The sequence below is a fragment of the Homo sapiens genome, chromosome 6 (assembly GCF_000001405.40).
Source record: "Homo sapiens chromosome 6, GRCh38.p14 Primary Assembly".
Lineage (NCBI taxonomy): Eukaryota > Metazoa > Chordata > Mammalia > Primates > Hominidae > Homo > Homo sapiens.
The window spans coordinates 111,018,603-111,037,881 of record NC_000006.12 but is presented as its reverse complement, the minus strand read 5'-3'; the positions used below and the strand labels follow the sequence as shown (position 1 = coordinate 111,037,881).

At 42.2% G+C, this 19,279-nt stretch overlaps 1 protein-coding gene across 2 annotated transcripts in view; it reads right to left on the bottom strand.

Annotated features, from left to right (window-relative positions):
- Positions 1–9,618: 9,618 nt before the first annotated feature.
- RPF2 (ribosome production factor 2 homolog) overlaps positions 9,619–19,279 on the bottom strand; it is a 46,226-nt gene continuing 36,565 nt past the window's right edge. For both annotated transcript variants that reach the window (NM_032194.3, NM_001289111.2), the window contains 2 exons: positions 13,555–13,699; positions 9,619–12,479 (listed from right to left, as the gene is read on the bottom strand). In NM_032194.3, coding sequence (NP_115570.1) covers positions 12,300–12,479; positions 13,555–13,699 — 325 coding nt within the window. In that variant the 3' untranslated portion in view covers positions 9,619–12,299. The remainder of the gene's footprint in view (positions 12,480–13,554; positions 13,700–19,279) is intronic.

The following is a 19,279-nucleotide window of genomic DNA, read 5'->3' as shown; positions in this document are numbered from 1 at the left end:
AAAAAGCAGATCAGTGGTTGCCCGGGACATGGGGTAGAGGGAAATAAACAGGTATGAATTTTTTGGGTCAGATGAAAATATTCTGCCTCTTGATTGTGGCAGTGTTTTCGTAGGTGTTCACAAACGTCAAAACTCACCAAATCATATACTTTAAACAGGTGCATTTAATTGTACATAAATTAGGCCAGGCACAGTGGCTCACATCTGTAATCTCAGCACTTTGGGAGGCTGAGGTAGGAGGATTACTTGAGCCCAGCAGTTCGAGACCAGCATGGGCAACATAGTAAGACGTTTTCTCTATTTTAAAAATAAACAATTTTAATAAATTTATGTAAATTATACTCCAATTAAGTTGATGGAATCAAATTTTGTTCAGTAAATACTTTTTTTCTCCAGGTAAATGATCCCTGCCTAATCTGACAAGGTTTCAAGATTTTTCATTACCTTCGCCATTACCAAGTAGCTCAATTTCTCCAAGGGTGGTGCCCAGAAATGAAAGCAATATTATGATATGAACAGGTTAGAGTATATTGGGTCCCTGTTACTTCCACTTTTTTATTACTGTACATTTGAATCAGGATTTCTTGTTTTTAGACTTCAAAAAATCTCATACAAATGATTTTAATCAGCCTGAATGTTCTACTTCTGTGACAGTGCAGCTTAAATTTAGGGGGACCTTTCAGCAGCAGGCTTACATGGATGTCTGACACTGGGTTTGCCTCCAGGGGCATTTCCCAACTGTAGAACAGTCTCCTTTATCCTAACTATGTGTATATTTCTCCCCCAGGTTCTGAACTTTTCTTTGTGTCTTTTTTTTGTCTTCATGAAAGTGGAAGAACACCGTTTAAAGAGACAAAGGTCAATAGCAGCCCTGAGGCTTGTCAGTAAAGATCTGCTTTCTGGATGCCATGGATGTATTCATCATTCATCAATATCCTTTGGGTGTAGTTGTTTAAATTGCTATGAATTGGCCTGGGTGCTGATTAGTTACATCATTTCTCCATGTGATTCACATGAATACTGTGAGACACTTAAGACATCTTGCTGAGAATCCACTAGATTAGGAATTAGAAGACTTGAGTTCTAGGCCCAGATTTACCTCTTTAAGTTGTGTAACGTTGGACAAGTTTACTTAATCCAAGCCTCTGCTTTCTCGACTGGAAATTGTATAAAATACCACCTGCACTATTCAGTTTATGGAATATTTTAAATATCAACTGAAAATACCATGTGAAAGCACTTTCAAAAAAAGACTGCGCTTATCAGCCGGGTATGGTGGCTCACGCCTATAATCCCAGCACTTAGGGAGGCCAAGGTGGGCGGATCATGAGGTCAGGAGTTCGAGATCAGCCTGGCCAACATGGCGAAACCCTGCCTCTACTAAAAATACAAAAATTACCCCAGTGTGGTGGCGGGCGCCTGTAATCCCAGCTACTTGGGAGGCTGAGGCAGGAGAATTGCTTGAACCTGGGAGGCGGAGGTTGCAGTGAGCCGAGATCATGCCACTGCACTCTAGCCTGGGTGACACAGCAAGACTCCATCTCAAAAAAAAAAAAAGAAAAAAGAAAAAAAGATTGTGCTTATCATATTATTTATAATAATATCAACAGGAAATGCCATTAATGCCCAACAATAGAATGACTAAAATAAATAACATATCCACGTAATCAAATATTACAGAGCCATCAAAAATAGTGTTTAAAAAATAACTAATGACACAAGAAACTGCTTACATATAACATTGATTTCAAAGAGCAGGGCAGGCCAGGCACAATGGCTCACACCTGTAATCCCAGCACTTTGGGAAGCTGAGGCGGGAGGATTGCTTGAGCCCAGGAGTTCAAGATCAGCCTGGGCAACATGGCAAGACCTCTGTTGTAAAAAATTAGCTGGGCGGTGGCACATGCCTGCAGTCCGAGCTACTAGGAATGCTGAGGTGGGAGGATCACCTAAGCCTGGGAGGTTGAGGCTGCAGTGTGCTGTGATCATGCCACTGTACTCCAGCCAGGGAGAGTGAGAATCTGTCTTAAAAAAAATAAAGGGCAGAGCACCTAGTAAACCCTTGGGCAAGGGCCAATGATGGGAGCAGGTACAAGGGGACTTCTGTCGGTCTTTACAATATTTCTATTTCTTTTTCTTTTCCCACTTAGATAAAGGGGGTACATGTACAGTTTTGTTACCTGGGTATGTTGCATGATGCTGAAGTTTGGGGTATGAGTGATCCCATTACCTAGGTATTGAGCACAGTACCCAATAGTTTCTGAACCCTTGGCCTCCTTTCTCCCTCCCCGCTAGTAGTCGGTCCCCAGTATCTACTGTTGCCATCTTTATGTCCATGAGTACCAATTGTTTAGCTCCTACTTACAAGTGTGGTATTTGGTTTTCTGTTCCTTTACGTTAATTCACTTAGGATATTATTTCTATTTCTTGATCTGGATAATTATGCAAGTGTGTTCACTTGGTAAAAATTCGTCATGTTTTGCTCTTATGAACACTTCCATACATGTAGGTTTTAGCTATATATGTATTTAAAAATAAAAAAGCAGAACTCAAAATAAGACCACAGTTTTATTTTATGTATTTTGTTGATTGATTTATTGACTGATTGTGACAGAGTCTCATTCTCTGTTGCCCAGGATAGAATGCAGTGGCATGATCTAGACTCACTGCAACTTTTGCCTCCAGGGTTCAGGCTATTCTCCTGGCTCAGCCTCCTGAGTAGCTGGGACTACAGGTGCGTGTCACCATTCCTGGCTAATTTTTGTATTTTTAGTAGAGATGGGGTTTTGCCATGTTGGCCAGGCTGGTCTCAAACTCCTGACCTCAAGTGATCCGCCCGCCTCGGCCTCCCAAAGCGCTGGGATTATAGGCGTGAGGCACCGTGCCCAACCCCATAGTTTTATTTTTAAATTTGGGGTTTTTTAAAAGATATATATTTTAAATATTTTTTAGAGACAGTGTCTTACTCTATCAATCACCGAGGCTGGAGTGCAGTGGCAAAACCACAGCTCACTGCAGTCTCAGACTCATGGGCTGAAATGATCCTCCTGCCTCAGTCTCCAGAGTAGCCAGGACTATAGGCATGCACCACTATGCCTGGCTAAGTTTTTAAATTGTTTGTAGAGACAGGATCTTGATATGTTGCCCAGGCTAGTCTTGAACTTCTGGCCACAAGCAATACTCCTGAAATTATACGTGTGAGCCACCGTGCCTGGTCCTATTTTTATTTTTTTAGAGACAAGGTCTTGCTATGTTACTCAGGCTGGAGTACAGTGGCTATTCACAGGCATGATTATAGCATACTAAGGCCACCTGGGCTTAAGGAACTCTCCTGCTTCAGTCTCCTGAGTAGCTGGCGAAATCCCCTTTGCAAAAATTATAACTGAGGAAATTATGACAGTGAAAGAAATCAGACCTAAACAACTCCATCTTGCTTCTAACCTTTAAGCTGTCCTTGTTCATCCCTGGGCATAGGCTGAACCAACTTTGGGAAGGAATTCAGTTCATGGTTTGACTCTAGAAACAAAATTGGTAATAGCTCTTTCCTGAAACGACCCCCTTCTTGCCTGGGGACCAGTCTGCCTTCGCAGGACTAACAAATTAGCTACAAGGCTAGAAATTACAGTTTAGGGGTCATGCAGCCTCTGGCTCCAAGAGTCTGAACCTTCCCAAATTGCTCCTGGGGATAATATCACCATTGTGAAACCTACGATCAGAGCTATTGTGCAGACCCTGCACTCGATGGATCAGCTGACACCACCCAGACGGCAATCTGGCTCAACCAGTTCTGCCATCCCACCCAGGAACAGAAGAGAGCAAGAAAAATTCACTTCCGCCCCCTGTGAGTCCATCTCCAACCTGACCAATCAGCACTCCCCACTTCCCAAGCCCCTACCCGCAAAATTATCTTTGAAAACTCTGATCCCCAAATGCTCAGGGAGACTGATTTGGGTAATAATAAAACTCTGGTTTCCCACATAGCCGGCTCTGCGTGAATTACTCTTTGTCCATTGCAATTCCCCTGTCTTGGTAAATCGACTCTGTCTAGGCAGCCGGTAAAGTGAACCCTTTGGGCACTTAACTGGGACTACATGCTCACCACCACACCCAGCTTAAAACTATGCATTTTTTTCAGTGGTAAGAAATACAGCAAAATGTTAATTACCTGGTATTACCTGAGATTACAGATGACTTTTATTTTCATCTTTGCAACTTTCCCTTTGATTATCAGAAAAAAAGTTCGTTTTTTTTTTTTAAATCAGAAAAATATTCCTTGTATTTGAAAGAAAATGCTTGGCCTGGTGTGGTGGCTCACCCCTGTAATCCCAGCACTTTGTGAGACCGAGTCGGGCAGATCAACTGAGGTCAGGAGTTCCAGACCAGCCTGGCCAACATAGCAAAAACCCATCTCTACTAAAAATACAAAAATTAGCCAGGCATGGTGGTGGGCGCCTGTAATCCCAGCCACTCAGAAGGCTGAGGCAGGAGAATCACTTGAACCTGGGAGGCGGAGGTTGCAGTGAGCCAAGATCCGTGCCACTGCACTCCAGCCTGGGGTGACAGAGCAAGACTTGTCTCAAAAAAAAAAAAAAGAAAAAAGAAAAAGAAAAACAAAAAGGAAAGAAAGAAAATGCTTTCTAAATTGTAAACATATACAGTGTCAGGTGTTATTCCCAATGCCTGAAACATAATAATGCTTGATAAATGTGGAGTGATTGGTTATTGTCCTGTGAAAGTTGAACCATAAGAATTGGGTCATTCTTGTCAGATCCAACTAAAACAGAGTCAAGAAGCTAGGAGGAAAAACATTCAGGGTACCAAAGCATTGCTCCAAGAATAGACTTTCTTTGCAAGCCTGGCTGCTGAAGCTGCTTGTTGTAAGCTGAAACCAGTTTTATCTATAGCTTCTGAGATAACTTGCTACAATTCTAGGACTAATTTTGCCCTCTGCTGTTGCTCACCGATCAGAGCTCCCAGCTCCCCAAACCCACAGTGCCAACGAACTTTCTCAAAGAGCAATACATAACATTTCTCCTTTTTAATAAAACCTCTGGCCTTTTCTTTGTTCTTCAGACATTCCGAAGACCACCCAGTCTGCATGTATGTCTGAACTTATAAATTCTGAAACCACCCTCACAGGGTCGACAAGAATTGCATGTTAGGTTCTGGCCAGAAATGTAGTTATAATTTATCATTAATCAAGCTGCCCTTTGGCCCACTTCCTTGTTGCTAAATCACATAGCACTAGATACTGACCATCTGCATCCCCACTGTATGATGGACAGGATTTCTGACATCAGGGTCATAAGACTAAGAATTGACTTGCATCCCCATTGTTCCTACAGGGTCTCTGAACATTAGATCATAACACTTTTGTTTAAGGATCACTTAAAATGTTTTTCAGGGCCAGGTATGGTGGCGAGAGCCTGAAATCCCAGCACTTTGGGAGGCCGAGATGGGAGGACTGCTTGAGGCAGAGTTCAACCAGCTTGGGGAACATAGCAAGACCCCGTATCTTCCTACAAAAATATTAAAAAATTAGCTGGCCCTGGTAGTGCGCGCCTGTAGTTCTACCTATTTGGGAGGCTGAGTTTGGAGGACTGCTGGAGCCCAAAGAGTTCGAGGCTGCAGTGAGCTATAATCACACTGGGTGACAGAGCAAGTCCCTATCTCAAAAAAACAAAAACAAACAGATGTTTTTCAGACCCCGAATTCCAACAAAACAGCTGATGCCAACCAGCTTGAAGATCCCACCAGAGGAAGGGGATCAGTATGAGAATAGTTTCTTCATCTCCCTGTCCTATGACTTCACTTTGCACTCTTTCATCAATTAACAATCTCTAAAACCCTAAAAAATCCTAACCTCAAATTCCTTAGAATTGTATCTGAGGTTTCTTCCCATCTCCTCATTCAAATTTTTCTTTTCTTTTCTTTTTCTCTTGAGACAGGGTCTCACTCTGTCGCCCAGGCTGGAGTGCAGTGGCGTGATCTCAGCTCACTGCAACTTTCACCTCCTGAGTTCGAGCGGTTCTCCTGCCTCAGCCTCCTGAGTAGCTGCAATAAATAGCGTGTACTACTGTGCCCGGTTTATTTTTGTATTTTTAGTAGAGATGGGATTTTGCCATGTTGGTCAGGCTGTTCTCGAACTCCTGAGCTTAAGCGATCTGTGCGCCTTGGCCTCCCAAAGTGCTGGGATTATAGGTGTGAGCGACCATGCCCGACCTCCTGGTTCAAATTTTTATGATTCTTCTTCTTTCTCTGCTGCAACCTGGTGTCTCAGTGTATTGACTTGCTGTGTGCCTCAGGCAACAAATTTATTATGGTTACAATTCTTTCTCCCAAGTAAAACAAATTTAGAGATTCGTCTCTACAATTTTGACTTCAACGCTCTACCGGGAAAGTATCTGTTTCAAAAAAGGAAATGGGTTAACACTCTTAACTCTCAGGGAACCCAGGCTGGCTCCTAGTGATGACTATTTCCAATTCTAAGTAAGAGCTCATGAGGCACCTACATGATTCTTCTTATAATTTTGCCAGAGTCAAAACTAGAAGGTATCTGTCACCAGTTCTCTGCCTCATTCTACGTCCCCATAGTTCCTTCAAGATTAACTGAATGTGCATGTTTGGAATGGAGACTCAGTTATTTCAAGCGGCCAGGTGCTTTGCATGCCATATTTCACCCACCTTGAGGTTAGGATAGAATTACTTTCGGGAGCCCTATTTCTCAATCATGATGGCTACTCCTCTCATTTTCTAAGAATGGAGATAACATGGGAATTTCATCAGCCAGTATTATACCAGTTGCCTTATCAAGTCCCCTTTTAAAATTCTTTGTCATACTGCTACTACTACTACCACAAAACAAAGCCACATTGATTGCCCTTTGCATTTCTTGAGTCTGCAAACATTTTCACTTTTCTTAGAGAACCATATTACTAATTGGTGTTGCCCATGGTTTTATGCACTGTATCTTTTAATTGTCCTTTTAAATCTCAGCTGAGCTCTCAGAGTAGCAGGCGAGGGTTGTGTCGGTTTCATTTAATGCCACACTCCTTCCCACAACACTGCCCTGTCTGCCACTCCCACATACTCTCCTGCCCGTATGGTGATGCTGCTTTTGAGCTCTCATGCCACTTGAGCTTTGATTGATTTTTCAAGATTCTGTCTAACCTTTCCCCAAGGTCACCCTTAATGGAGGAAGGTGCTGGGGGTAAAATTCAAAACATATTTGTGGCATTCACTAGCTTTGACTGGGGAGCCAGATGGATGAAATGGGGCCTCATGGGGACAGTAAAGAATTCTCACGCTCTCCCAGTGCCATAAACCGAGCGGCCTCCGAAAGGCTGAGCCGGAGGTGCTGTTGCAGGTGGTGTCATCTAAACTGATGTCTCTAATCAGTCAAGTCACTATGCTATTTGCTTTGTCAGATAAGTGACTCTGGGGAAATCAGGTAGGAGAGTGGGAAAATAAATTGCTCAAGCTGATAAATGTGAATCTTCAAAATCTATTTCAAATGCAGAAATTAAATAAGCTTGCCTTTCAGGAACCTCTTTCGTAACTCATCCACAGTGTGTGAGAGGGACAGAGGGAGTTACCAGAACACAAGTTCAACTTTAGCTTGGCTCTAACTCTGGTTGCAGGTTCCCCCTCCTACTCGGTGATCTAGTGTCCACAGATGGTGCCTGTGCAGCCCTGGGTTCCAGCTGGGTGAGAGGGCAACGCCTCACGGAGCCAACATCTGCCACTCTGTGTCTGTCTGAGCCCTCAGAAGCCTGGTTTTCAGTTTGAGGAATCAATCCCAATCCAGTAAAGCACTTACAGCTCTGGGGCTTTGATCTTTGCTTGGCAAATGCCCTAACTGCTGAGTTCTACATACTTTGCCATTTCTCCCTTATCTGCCTTCTTTCATACAAGCCCCAGCTTGTATGAAACTAGAGCCAGAGTTTTCTCCCTGTTTGGAACCCACTTTCTGATTCCTTGAACATGTGTGAGAGGAATGGGGGTAGGGGTGAGATGGGTTGGGGAAGGAAGGACAGAAGTTTATTTTATTATTTTATTTTATTTTTGAGACGGAGTCTCGCTCTGTCGCCCAGGGTGGAGTGCAGTGGCGCGATCTCTGCCTCCCGGGTTCACGCCATTCTCCAGTCTCAGCCTCCCGAGTAGCTGGGACTACAGGCGCCCGCCACCATGCCCGGCTAATTTTTTCTATTTTTTAGTAGAGACGGGGTTTCACCGTGTTAGCCAGGATGGTCTCGATCTCCTGACCTCATGATCCGCCCGCCTCAGCCTCCCAAAGTGCTGGGATTACAGGCGTGAGCCACCGCGCCCGGCCGAGAAAGGACAGAAGTTTAATGGAAAAACAGGAACAGAATTAAAACGCATTTATGGGCTGGGCACTGTGGCTCACGCGTGTGATTTCAGTGCTCTGGAAAGCTGAGGCGGGAATATTGCATGAGGCCAGGAGTTCAAGACCAGCCTGGGCAACATAGTGAAACATCGTCTCTACAAAAAAAAAAAAACTAGCCCAGCTGTCGTGGCACCTGCCTGTGGTCCCAACTACTTGGGAGGCTGAAGCGAGAGGATGCCTTGAGCCCAGAGTCTGATGCTGGAGTGAGCTATGACTGCACCACTGCACCCCAGCCTGTGCAACAGAGTGACACCTGATTTCTAATACATAAAATGTATTTATGCTATATTTAAAAACTTTCTCAGCTGGGTGCGGTGGCACACGCCTGTAATCCCAGCACTTTGGGAGGCCGAGGCAGGCAGATCACTTGAGATCAGGACTTCAATACCAGCCTGGCCAACATGGCGAGACCCTGTCTCTACTAAAAATTAGCTGGGCGCAGTGCGCATGCCTGTAATCCCAGCTACTCGGGAGGCTGAGGCACGAGAATCGCTTAAACTCAGGAGGCGGCACTTGCAGTGAACTGAGATCGCATCACTGCATTCCAGCCTGGGCGACAGAGCAAGACTCTGTCTCCAAAAAAATAATAATAAAAACTTTTTTCCAGAGAGCTCTGAAATGGAAAAAGAGTGCAGAATAGCTTCAATTCAATGATGGCAAAGTTAAAATTCCTAACATGGTCTAACTGGCACACTCTGAATGATACGAGAAACACAATGACATCCTTGCTGTTTTTAAACTTGAGCAACTCGAGTTGTTGATATGAGAGACAAACAACATCTAAATGCAAGCTGACTTTCTTTTCACAGCTAGCATATACCTCAAGTAAGCAAGCCCATTTCATCTTCTTTTTCAGAATAGCTTCTTTCAATGAATATCAAACAGTATTCTCTACAATTTCATAATGTATATACGCTAGGATGCATTTGTCTTAAATGCAGTTATGTTTTGACTATTTCTAAGTAAAAGTGCATTAAAAACATAATGAAGCTCGTATTTTTTGCACTGTCTCTTAATTTTATGGTGGACAAAGCACCAATTTCTGAAATTCAATAAAAGCAAACCTTCCTTTGTTGTTCGGATCTTAGCAATGGGTTTAGTAGTTTTAACTTCTTCCATTTTGAAGCCTTCCATTTTTAGCCTTAAGTAGCTAGACATAAAAAGGAAAGGAAGGAGAGATCATGTAAGTAGCTAATCAGATAAATGAAAACTGACTTGAAGTTAAGTTTTATTAGCCCTTTCTTTTCTTGAATTGAGTAATAACATCTCTACTTTGGATTATGTTCAATAACCAAGAAAACAAACAGCACTTAATTTTAAAAAAACAAAAAAAAAGAAACCCAAATTCCATGAAATAATAGCTTGGTAATAGTATTAATATTCCAGAAAAAATATAAGAAATTTGGTATTTAAAACAAAACAAATAACCAAAATGCTTTCCTCATCTACCAAAACCCAACATTAAGTAAAACTTAAAACAGGCAATTTACCACCTCCATTGAAATGAATACATAGTCTCCAATTTATGTGTGTTGTATTCTAAAGTAAGGACAACTGAAAATCAAGATGTGCTCTCCACAAAAAGTGATATAAATGGCAGCTCAAGAGTTCCAGATAGTACAACACTACAAGGTGTTCTCAACAAAAAGTCTTTGTTAGACTTCAATAATACTATTTGGTACTTCTATCAGCAAATAGGAAGCATTCCAATACTTATTAGATCCTCTACCATCAGACACAGAAATTACCTAGAAAACAGAAATGTATTGCCAAATCTCAAACAAGAGGGCTGATTAAAACAAACAAAAACACCCTTAAGACGTCTCACATACAGAAATCATGGCCATCTTTGGGTTAAGATTGGCTGATTTTCCAGTAGTGCTGGGGTAGGTCTTCCTGATAGAGGGGTCCAGGCATGGCAGGGTCCCGTAAGCGGCTGGTGAGGAGGACCCACTGCTTTGCCTCCTACCAGTGATGAGCGAGGCTTTGGGGAAGGACTATGCGTCCATCACTCCTGATGTTCTTTTCATGGCTCCCCTTCTCAGCTATTGTCCATCTACCTCCAGATGGCAGCAAACGACTTATCTGAGCCCCTTCTTCTCATTTAGATATAAAGTGCAAATGTCTGATTCAGGTACGAGACTGTATGGTCTTTGGTTAAACGTATAATCAAACAAAAAGTATAAATGATACCAGCTCCTTCATTTTTCTGGCAAGAGGAGAGTAACAGCTATCCGGAGAGGACTAGGGAAAGCTAAGGAATGGATTCAAAAGAGAAGGGAAAGGGTAGAAGGTAAAGCTGAGGCTCGAACTTTTGCTTAGTGCCAGCATTGTTGATCTGTAGCTGAGCAAGCTTACATAAAGGCATGTATACACAGGCACGGAGCTCTCTAACATGGAATTGAAGTGAAACCCTGTCTCTACAAAAAATCAGCCAGGCGTGGTGGTGGGTGCCTGTAATCCCAGCTACTCGGGAGGCTGAGGCAGAAGAATGCTTGAACCTGGGAGGTGGAGGTTGCAGTGAACTGAAATCGCGCCACTGCACTCCAGCCTGAGCGACAGAGCGAGACTCTGTCTCAAAAAACAACAAAAAAGAAAGCACTGGTACTTCATGTAACAAATTATGATTTGCGTATGTCTGTACCTTTACAACATTACTGGCACTTGTATAAAGGAGATTCCTTGTCAAGGACTGAATCAAGGAACTTAACACCCTATTCCAGAAAAACAAGTATGCAATACTAGTAGAAGGAAGAAGAAAGCTTCTGTTTTCCTAGGCACAAGGCCTGTCTTCAAGAAACTTTCAAAACAAGTAGTTAGGCTTTGGCTGGCTTCTACACCATCTGCAAACGCCCAGGGCCTTCATGCAACCTTTAGCTACCTAGGGCTACCCAGTACCCTAAAGTGCCCTGCACCTTAAAACTCACCTGTTTTCTCCTTTTTCATTTCTGCCCCTATCAAAACTTCTTTTCTGCCAGGTGCAGTGGACCAACATCTGTAGTTCCGGCTGCTCAGGAAGGTGAAGTGGGAGGATCACTTGAGCCCAGGAATTTGAGTCCAGCCTGGGCAACACAGCAAGACCTCATTGCTTTAAAAAAAAAAAGTAGGGCTCAGTGGCTCATGCCTGTAATCCCAGCTACGTAAGAGGCTCAGGCAGGAGGATTACTTGAGCCCAGGAGTTCAGGGCTGCAGTGAGCTGTGATTGTGCCACTGCACTCCACCCTAGGTGACAGAACAAGACCCCATCTCTTAAAAACAAACCAACCAAAAAACACAGGTTTCGTCTCAGAGAAGCGGGGTGGGCTCTACTTAGTAGTAGAGTCTCTTAAAACAATCAACAGTAGTGTAATTTATCAATAATCAGATAGCAGACATCCCTCTCAGAGATCTATATATTTTCAGCCACAAAGCTTAAAATCTCAAATGTCAACGAGTAGGATTTCAGGCAAAATAAAAGTAGAAAATAAAAATCAGAATGTAGATCCATGTTGGGAGAGGAGGTTAACTTTCCAGGTAATTCATACTGAGATTGTTTACACAGCTCCTGCGGGTCCGGCTTTCTGTGGCTTTCTTTAGCTAAGGCCAGAAATTCAAAAAAATCCCAATGGTTATGGAGATCCCTCCTCACCCATCCATCCACCCAATGAGAAAGAAGAATTTGTGGAGGGCAGGGGATATCACAAGAGAAAATGGCACACCAGGGTGTAATGTCTCAAATAAAAGGCTTACTTTACACTTAATACTAGTATATTACTGTTCATAATAATATATCGTAAAATTATCATGTTATAAAAATATATAATAAGATCTTATAAGAAACTCTGAATGGATTGACGCTTGATAATTCTCTTAAGTAGAACACAATGAAACAGTAGTGGCTGGCTAAGTTCCATCAATTTTTTTTAATTCTTTTTGACTTTTTCTCGTGGTCTTCTGTTATCCTTTCTGCAGGTCGCTTCTTCAACCCCTTCATTTTCCTGGTTTGTAGTTTGCTTAGGTCTTGCTTCTGCATATGAATCCTTCCATAAGTTGTACCAAAAGTATCATGGGAAATATTTTTCTTCTTCTTTGGCTACGATAAAAGAATATGTATATATTTAATGGCCTTCTACTATAATGAGCCAGTAAAAATCTAGTCTGTAACAACTATCTTAGTAGCAATTTCCATTAGTGCCTGCCCCTTCAGTGACACAGTATATAGCCCTATACACTTTTCTTCTCAAACTTAAGTGTGCATACAAATCACTTGGGATCTTGCTAAAATACAGATCCTAATTCAGTATGTCTAGGGTAGGGCCTGATATTCTGCACAATTCCCAGGTAAACTGTCAGGCCACACTTTGAAAAACAAAACTATAAACTACACTAACCACTGTCACACATCAAGAAAATAGCCTGTGTTTAGCTTAAGAAGTTGTGACTATTGTTTCAATTTCTATTGGCATTTTAGAGATTACATTTCTTCTTGTCTTTTAAAACTACTTAAAAAGTCAAAACACATTTTATGCACATATGGTTTATATACCCTGTACTCTAAATCCTTAGCCTTTACAGTGTACCAAACAACTCTCTTTCTTTTGCTGAAAACAACAGTCTTGACTATCAGAAGGCACTTAGCCAAACCTCATGTCTGGGTTTTGCAACTCTTTTTTTATTATCCCTTATTGTTGGCTTATTTGGTTCTCTCTCCTTTTCCTGGCTCTGTGAGTCCTAGTTTAATCTATTGTATTGATCTCTTTATATATGTCCTTGTCTTTTTTTTTTTTTTTTGGCTCACTCTGTCACCCACGCTGGAGTGCAATGGCGTGATCTCTGCTCACTGCAAGCTCCACCTCCCCGGTTCACGCCATTCTCCTGCCTCAGCCTCCCAAGTAGCTGGGACTACAGGCGCCCGCTACCACGCCCAGCTAATTTTTTGTATTTTTCATAGAGACGGGGTTTCACTGTATTAGCCAGGATGGTCTCGATCTCCTGACCTTGTGATCCACCCACTTCGGCCTCCCAAAGTGCTGGGATTACAGGCGTGAGCCACCGCGCCTGGCCTGTCCTTGTCTTTTAATATAATATGCCACAAATTCTTTTTGGAAAGAAAAAGGATTAAAGTAGAAAATACAAATAAATGTGGTACCAAGCTCTAAGTTATATACCTTGAGAGCTTTTGGCATTTTCATAGATAATTTATAAAGGTCATCCGATGCCAGGTGTGTCCTCCTCAGAACCAGATCCAATGAGGGTCCCATCTCTTCCAATTCAATCCGTGGTGTTCTGCAACCAGATTTCTTCAACAGCAACCTTTAGGAAATAGGTAAAAAGAAATGTTGCTTTGACTTTCATAAAAGTCCTCTCCACCAAATATTTTTTGTTCAGGGGATTTACAATTCCATTAAATGATATAAAATGTTTAGAAAGACTTACTTAAATACTTAATACTATTCAAGCCAAGTATATCCTTTGGTTCACATCTTCTTTTATAAATTTTTTTTTTTTTGAGACGGAGTCTCGCTCTGTCCCCAGGCTGGAGTGCAGTGGCGCGATCTTGGCTCACTGTAAGCTCCACCTCCCAGGTTCACGCCATTCTCCTGCCTCAGCCTCCCGAGTAGCTGGGACTACAGGCACCCGCCACCACACCTGGCTAATTTTTTTGTATTTTTAGTAGAGATGGGGTTTCACCGTGTTAGCCAGGATGGTCTCGCTCTCCTGACCTCATGATCCTCCTGCCTCGGCCTCCCAAAGTACTGGGATTACAGGCATGAGCCACCATGCCCGGCTTTTCTTTATAAGTCTTTTATCCCTTTTTGAGCTAAAGGGTCACACAAATATCAAATTAAAAATTTTTTTTTTCTCTTTGAGGTCAAGGGCAGTTTGCTTATTTTTAAAAATCAGAAATAAAATTATACAATATTATTGAGAAACAGCAAGTGAGATACAAAATTATTCTCAGAAATGAAATAAAATCCTTTGATTTGACTTCTTCATCTTACTCATAGATTTATGTATGTATAAAAGTAATTATAATTGGCTTTTTCTTTGAAACAGTATGTTTATACGATTAACAAGTTCTTATCTAAGACTGTAGGAGTTAAACCAACCCATTCAGAATCAACTTTTCCTCATAGCACAGACATTTACTAACTTCCTTACATTGAAGTGAACTTTAAAATCTTAAAATAACAAAACCACAACTTTCTGAATACCCTATGTCTAAACAGCTCTGGATCTGGAAACACTGGTGGAGGAGAACTGGGGAATACAGGCAGGATAAAGTGATGGTGGAGCAGCCAGGCGTGGTGGCTCACGCCTGTAGTCCCAGCACTTTGGGAGGCTAAGGCAGGCAGATCACCTGAGGTCAGGAGCTCCAGACCAGCTGGCCAACATGGTGAAACCTCATCTCTACTAAAGACACAAAAAATTAGCCAGGCGTGGTGGCACATGCCTGTAGTCCCAGCTACTCGGGAGGCTGAGGCAGGAGAATCGCTTAAACCCAGGAGGCGGAGGTTGCAGTGAGCCGAGATCGCGCCACTGCACTCCAGTCTGGGCGACAGGGCGAGACTCCGTCTCAAAAACAAACAAACAAAAAAAGAAATCAGGGACATGTATTTTAATTTTCAACTAAAATTTTTTCTTCCACTTAAAACTGCTAATTTTCAGCTAGTTAGAAAACTTGTCAATTCAAAACAGCTCATGGCATATCCGATAGATTCAAATCACCCAAGTACTACTATACACTGCCAAAAGCACCTTTTAATTAACTGAAGCACCTTTTAATTAACTAAAAATAATTTTTAAAATTGATGCATAATAGATGTACATAGTTTCAGGGTGCATATAATAATTTAATATTGTGCCTTTTTATTCACAAGCGTCCTAATGAATTTTTTGAGTGGTACATAAAATTAAGATTTCCAAATAACTATGTATAATTACCTATGTTGTTATTTCATTAAAGAATTAAGTACAATGTCATACTTTTCTGTGTAGATGATCTGATCTTAATCATTTCAGTGAGTATGTTTACTGGAAGATCAAACTGATTTAAGGAAATATTCTCTAGCTTTTAGTTATCTGCAAACAGAACCCAGTTCTTTCTCTCTCAGATGGGCTCAAGCTGGTAGATATGCTAACTGGTAATTTCTACATATTTTTAAATATTATTTGTCTATTTCTTGAGGAAGAGTGACATTACCACTACTGTTCAAATTGTAATTTCCTCATTTTTCTCCCTCTCATACACTTCTCTGGCTGAAAGTCTGTTTTCATTAAGTAAACTCCTCAATTAGAATGTTATGTTTGCTTTTCAAAGTATGCTACCACTTTGTTTTGCATATTTCCCCCCATAAGGCCTAACCATTGTGCAAAGGCACATGTGGCATTACTAACGATTTTGTTTCATATTAATGGCTCTGACTCCATAGTGAATAAAATTTCCCAACGGATATAAATAGTCACTCACATACAAGGAATAATTACTATAGGATGTATAGGAACAGTGGTCAATAACACTATGATTTATTCACCCAAAAGATCATGTTAAAGGTTATATTAATATAATTTCCTGTTTAGAGTTCCTTTCATCCAAAAAGCTCAAAACCATTTTATAAACCTCATTTATCTTCACAAATAAAGTGTGTGAATATTAAATATTACCATTTTCAAATTGCATAAGGGCTAATTTGCAGTAAGAGCGAGGGAAAGGGTTCCACAGTATAGCTAGCCCAAAGAATGCCTGGGGAGCCAAGTTAAGTCAGACATACTTTCTGGTATATGCCCATCTATGAGTACCCCTTTACTCTTATAAAGCAGTACTGTCAATCTTAGGGGGACCTCAGAATTATCTAAATGGTATTGCTATAGTTTACAGAGGAAGAAACAAAGACCCTGAGAAGTGGTGACCTGCCCATGTCACGTGGCTGAGCCCAGCTCAGAGCCAGGTCAGTAGGCTCAGAGGTGATGCTGAATCCCTGGACCACCCCTTCCTCCCATCCTCAATGCTCCCCAAGTGTGGCACAGCCTCTGGAAGCTAAGCTGATCCACATGTTTAGTGATTCTTTCAAGTAGCAGCTCACTCTCAATCACAGTGTCCATTTTTTATTTCAAATTAATAGCTAACAAGTATTACAAGGCACATATGGAACATCTAGTGATCAAAATTACATACTAGGGTCTCTGATTTTAAAATTTCAAACTTTTTTTCATTATGAAAGATGTCGTGCTAGTGTAAAGGTGATTCTAGCAATCAGATTTTTGGTGGATCTATGTATTATAGTTACACTGCTAGTTTTTTATTTTTGTTTTTATTTTTATTTTTTTGAGACAGAGTCTTGCTCTGTCACCAGGCCGGAGTGCTGTGGCACAATCTAGGCTCGCTGCAATCTCCGACTCCGTGGTTCAAGCAATTCTCCTGCCTTGGCCCCCTGAATAGCTGGGATTACAGGCATGCGCCACCATGTCCAGCTAATTTTTTGTATTTTTAGTATAGATGATGTTTCACCGTGTTAGCCAGGATGGTCTCGATCTCCTGACCTCGTGATCTGCCCACCTCAGTCTCCCAAAGGGCTGCTGGGATTACAGGGATGAGCCACCGTGCCCGGCCTTACTGCTAGTTTATTCTTTTTTTTCTCTTTTTTTGAAATGGAGTCTCGCTGTCACCCAGGCTGGAGTGCAGTGGTGCGATCTTGGCTCACTGCAACCTCTGCCTCCCGGGTTCTCCTGCATCAGCCTCCTGAGTAGCTGGGATTACAGGTGCACACCATGTTGCCCGGCTAATTTTTATATTTTTAGTAGAGACGGGGTTTCACCATGTTGGCCAGGCTGGTCTCAAACTCCTGACCTCAGGTGATCCACCCATCTTGGCCTCCCAAAGTACTGGATTACAGGCATGAGCCACCACGCTGGGCCAGTTTATTCTTGCTCTAAAGTCTGACTTGATAATTCTCTATTTTGTTTTATTTTCTCTGTATCTTTCTTTACAAATAAACCCTTTTCACTAAATACAAGTGAATACTTTCTGCGAAACCGTTCAACACAGAAGAGTTTTAGGCTACTGTTACCACTCATTTCTTACTGTCAATGATTTTTTACCGTTATATTTTTATCTCCCTTGTATCCCCTCTATGTTTAACACAGAGGGCATACATACCCACCCGAGGCAGGAGAATCGCTTGAATGCGGGAGGCAGAGGTTGCAGTGAGCTGAGATGATGCCACTGTACTCCAGCCTGGGCAACAGCAAGATCCTGCCTCAAAAAAAGAAGTGTTCCAGGTCAGGCGCGGTGGCTCATGCCTGTAATCTCAGCACTTTGAGAGGCCAAGGCAGGTAGATCACGAGGTCAGGAGATTGAGACCATCCTGACTAACATGGTGAAACCCTGTCTCTACTAAAAATACAAAAATAAAATTAGCCGGGCGTGGTGGCGGGTGCCAGTAGTTCCAGCTACTTGGGAGGCTGAGGCAGGAGAATGGCATGAACCCGGGAGGCAGAGGCTGAAGTGAGCTGAGATTGCGTCACTGCACTCCAGCCTGGGCAACATAGCGAGACTCCGTCTCAAAAAAAAAACAAAAGAAAGAAAAGAAAGGTGTTCCAGATTTCTGGTTTTTTTCAGAGTTTGAAATACTTGCATACGTATAATGAGATATCTTGGGGATGAGATCCAAGTCTAAACACAAAATCCATTTATGTTTCATATACAGTTTATATACATAGCCTGAAGGTAATTTTATACAATTTTTATTTTATTTTATTACTTTATGTCTGAGATGGAGTTTCACTCTTGTTGCCCAGGCTGGAGTGCTCGGCTCACTGCAACCTCTGTCTCCCGGGTTCAAGCAATTCTCCAGCCTCAGCCTCCCGAGTAGCTAGGATTACAGGCGCCTACCACCATGCCTGACCAATTTTTGTATTTTTAGTAGCGACGGTGTTATGCCATGTTGGCCAGGCTGGTCTGGAACTACTGACCTCAGGTGATCCACCCGCCTCAGCCTCCCATGTGCTAGGATTACAGGTGTCCAGCCAACATAAGTTTAATTTTGTTTTGTTTTTTTCAGACAGTCTCACTCTGCCACCTAGGCTGGAGTGCAGTGGCACAATCTCAGCTCATTGCAACCTCTGCCTCCCAAGCTGAAGCAATTCTTGTGCCATAGCCGCCTGAGTAGCCGGGATTATAGGCGTGTGGCCCAGGCTCAAGCAATTCTCATGCCACAGCCTCCCAAGTAGCTGGGATTACAGGCGTGCGCCACCATACCCAGCTAATTTTTGTATTTTTTAATAGAGACAGGGTTTCTCCATGTTGGCCAGGCTGGTCTTGAACTCCTCAAGTGATCCGCCCACTCTCTGTAACCTCTGCGTCCTGGGCTCAATTGTCCTGCCTCAGCCTCCTAAGTAGCATGGAGGCCAGTGCCACCATGTCCAGCTAATTTTTGTATTTTTAGTAGAGACAGGTTTCGCTGTGTTGGCCAGGCTGGTCTTGAACTCCTGGCCTCGAGCAATCCACCCACCTCGGCCTCCCAAAGTTCTGGGATTACAGGCATGAGCCACCATGTCCGTCCTGAGTACTTTTTTATATTAGTGATTTTTCATCTTTTATTTCTTGTTCTCTAAATAACAGTCATCTACTGTATAGTATAATACATACTTAGAAGCTCCCAAATCACATATGGAAACTCAAACAGGAGACTTAAGGGGCTTTCGATCTTAACCAGCTAAAAATTACTATAAAGTCTCTAATTACATCTTATGATCATTGGGTATTTTACTGCATTTTGCCTCATTTATTTTTAGTGAGAGGAAAACAGAAAAACAGAAGCGGTGGTATTAATTATATGGAGAAAAAGAACTAAATGTCTCTGATTTAATACAGTTGAGCCCAAGATGGAAATT